The sequence below is a fragment of the Homo sapiens genome, chromosome 3 (genome assembly GCF_000001405.40).
Source record: "Homo sapiens chromosome 3, GRCh38.p14 Primary Assembly".
NCBI classification, from domain to species: Eukaryota; Metazoa; Chordata; class Mammalia; order Primates; family Hominidae; genus Homo; species Homo sapiens.
The window spans coordinates 119495521-119498546 of record NC_000003.12 but is presented as its reverse complement, the minus strand read 5'-3'; the positions used below and the strand labels follow the sequence as shown (position 1 = coordinate 119498546).

The following is a 3026-nucleotide window of genomic DNA, read 5'->3' as shown; positions in this document are numbered from 1 at the left end:
ACAGGAAGTCCCGCCCGACCGGGGCAAAGGCCAGGGGGCGGGGCGACGGCGAAGCCGGAGCCCAAAAGACTTCCGGTTGAGGGCGGGTTGGGCCACTGCTGTGCTGAGTGCACCCCCGGAAGTGAGTTGGCTGCCAGTAGTGAAGCTCAGCGTGGTCCCGGCAGGCCTTCGCTCCGTGTTTGTGGTTCCTGGGTCATGCAAACGGTGTCTGCGGCTACTTATATTCAGCTTGAGGTGGTCATAGGTTGAAGTAATTTATCGTATTTAAAATGCCAGGAATTAGCCGGGCATGGTGGCGGGCGCCTGTAATCCTAGCTACTCGGGAGGCTGAGGTAGGAGAATCGCTTGAACCCGGGAGGCGGAGGTTGCAGTGAGCCGAGATCACACCACTGCACTGCAGCCTGGGCAACAAGAGCGAAAATCTGTCTCAAAAAAAAAAAAAAAAGGCAGGAATCCCGCTTCAGTAAGGAAGAAAGTGCAATATTCAGTGCAAGTGGAGTAGGGAAAGAGGGAAAGGCGATTTGTGCAAAAACAAGTCCAACCTACTCTGCCAACATTAGAGAAGCCTTCCAGGCTGGGCGGGGTCCGTTTGTACCTTGTCAGTTCTGCTGGAAAAAAAACGAGGCATTGGGGATGGGTGTTGGTGCCAGTTACACTAAGATTTCGAGAACACTTTTTTGAAGAATCAGCTTTTTGGCAGGTCTTCCTAAGGTGGATTTCACTCCCTTTAGTTCATATGCCTACTGCTTCTCAAAAGGCAGGAGAATTTCTGGAATTTCTATCAAGTGTTTGTATAATTTGCCGTCACTACAACCTCTGCTAACATATGCTTCGAAGTACAGTTTTCATTAAAATGAATGCATTTAAAATATTCTCAATATTCGTGTAATTTCATTCAATCCTTGTTAACAAGCATACTCCCTTATTCATTTTGCCAATCCCTTCACCTCCTTGATTCCTTTCTAGTTGTCAATCAAAACTGCCACACTGTAGTAGAATACAGTAAGTGGACTTAGGAATTTGATAGCTGGAAATGCTACACATAAGTCCCTGAGAAGTGACTGACTAGAGTGACCAGCTCAATTAGTGACAGCGCCATGAAGACTACTCTGGGATATGAGATTTGATTCAGCACTCATCGTAGCACTTACAACACTGCATCATAATTTCCTATTAATCTGTCTCAATAAACTATCCTTGAGATCACAGACCAAATATATTCATCTCTGTATCTCCAGGACCTAGAACCGCAGTAGGTGCTCAGTAAATATTTGTTGAATAATTCAGATCTCCTGACTTCTGGCTCTGGATTACTGCTTATCCCATGTTAGGTAGAAGTGGGCACCAAGATAAGTTACCAAGGCCTGAAAGCCCAAGAAAATGGCTGTACAGTCTGTTTCTAACCTATATGTAGAAAAAGCTAAATGCATAAGATGACCCCAGAATTATTCTGGGGTGAAGGAGGACTTGAAATGGGTAGGAGGGTTTGGGTGGGTGTTGGGAAGATACTGACACAATCACTTATGTACAACTCAAATGCCCCAGGATTCACTAGCCTGTAGATGAGGTAATATTAACAGGCAAATTTTAAATTCCATAACTTGTTTCTCATTTGGGTAACGGAAGACTCATTTGTAATGTTCCTTTTGCCACCTGATAACTCAAAAAACTCCCCTCTCCTTTGGCTACTGCTCGCACTGTTGCTGCTCTTCCATCTGAGCCCTCCCACATTTCCTACTTCCCCAATCCCTTACGGCTTACCTTCTTTTAGAACAAGGGAAATGCTCACCCTCCTCTGTAGTCTGCTTATTTTATTTTATTTTTGATACAGTCTTAGCTTCGTCACCCAGGCTGGAGGGCAGTGGCAAGACCTCGGCTCACTGCAACCTCTGCCTCCTAAGTTCAAGTGATTCTTGTGCCTCAGCCTCCTGAGTAGCTGGGATTACAGGCATGTGCCACAAGCCTGGCTAATTTTTGTATTTTTAGTAAAGATGGTGTTTCACCATGTTGGCCAGGATGGTCTCAAACTTCTGGCCCCAAGTGATCTGCCTGCCTCAGCCTCCCAAAGTGCTGGGATTACAGGTGTGAGCCACCAAGCCCAGCCCTGTAGGCTGTAGTCTGCTCTTTTTGAAGGTTCTCCGATCAATACAGTCTAAGCCAGAGGTGTCCAATCTTTTGGCTTCCCTGGGCCACATTGGAAGAATAATTGTCTTGGCCCACACATAACACTAACTGTAGCTGATGAGCTAAAAACAAAAAACAAAAAGAAAAGAAAAAGAAAAAAGTCCATGCATAAATCTCATGTTTTAAGAACGTTTACAAATTTGTGTTGGGGCGCATTCAAAGCTTTCCTGGGCCGCGTGCAGTTCGTGAGCCATGGGTTGGACAAGCTTGGTCTAAGCCAAAAGGTGTTATGGGGTTTACTGGACCACTGTTTCACATATGGCTTTCTTGTCCCCAGGACATGTGTTTGCCAGCAGAGTAACTGCATCAGGGAAAGATTTCAGTGCAATCACCATACTGCCTGGAACACCATTCTTCCACCAACAGCCCTTGTTGCTGAATTCTGTTTATAGAACCTAATAGTTTCTTCCCTCACAGTGAATTTTTTTCTCAGGGGTCAGCAGGTTCCCTTCCCTGCCAGGTTCACCAAGTACTGCCCTTGCTACGTATTTTACATTTTGTTACATTATATATGATATAAAACTTTTCAACATGTGGAGAGAGAATGAATTTTGAGAACTCCAAGAACCATTTCATTTACTTATCCTTCATGGTATAAATTAATTTTTACCTCCACAAAGTTTCCCATCTGCTCCAGTTGGAAGTTTATTCTTCCTCTAAACTCCAGATCCACATTGTCTTCATGAATAATTGGCACTCCTGTTGCCTTAATCACCTTCCACGTATGTATGATGCCTCTCATATTGTTTATCATCTCAACGGCACAGCCCCTTGAGGTTTGGGAGCCTCTTGTAAACTTTCCTTGTCTCTGTGCATAGTAGATGCTTAAGAAGTATCTGGTA

General features: G+C 44.7%; 1 annotated feature.

Annotated features, from left to right (window-relative positions):
• Positions 211–260: an enhancer, noted in NCBI's record as "active region_20304". NCBI's record gives its function as "activates an Ori minimal core promoter by ATAC-STARR-seq in GM12878 lymphoblastoid cells {active_cell/tissue: GM12878}" and the evidence as "EXISTENCE:reporter gene assay evidence [ECO:0000049][PMID:35858748]".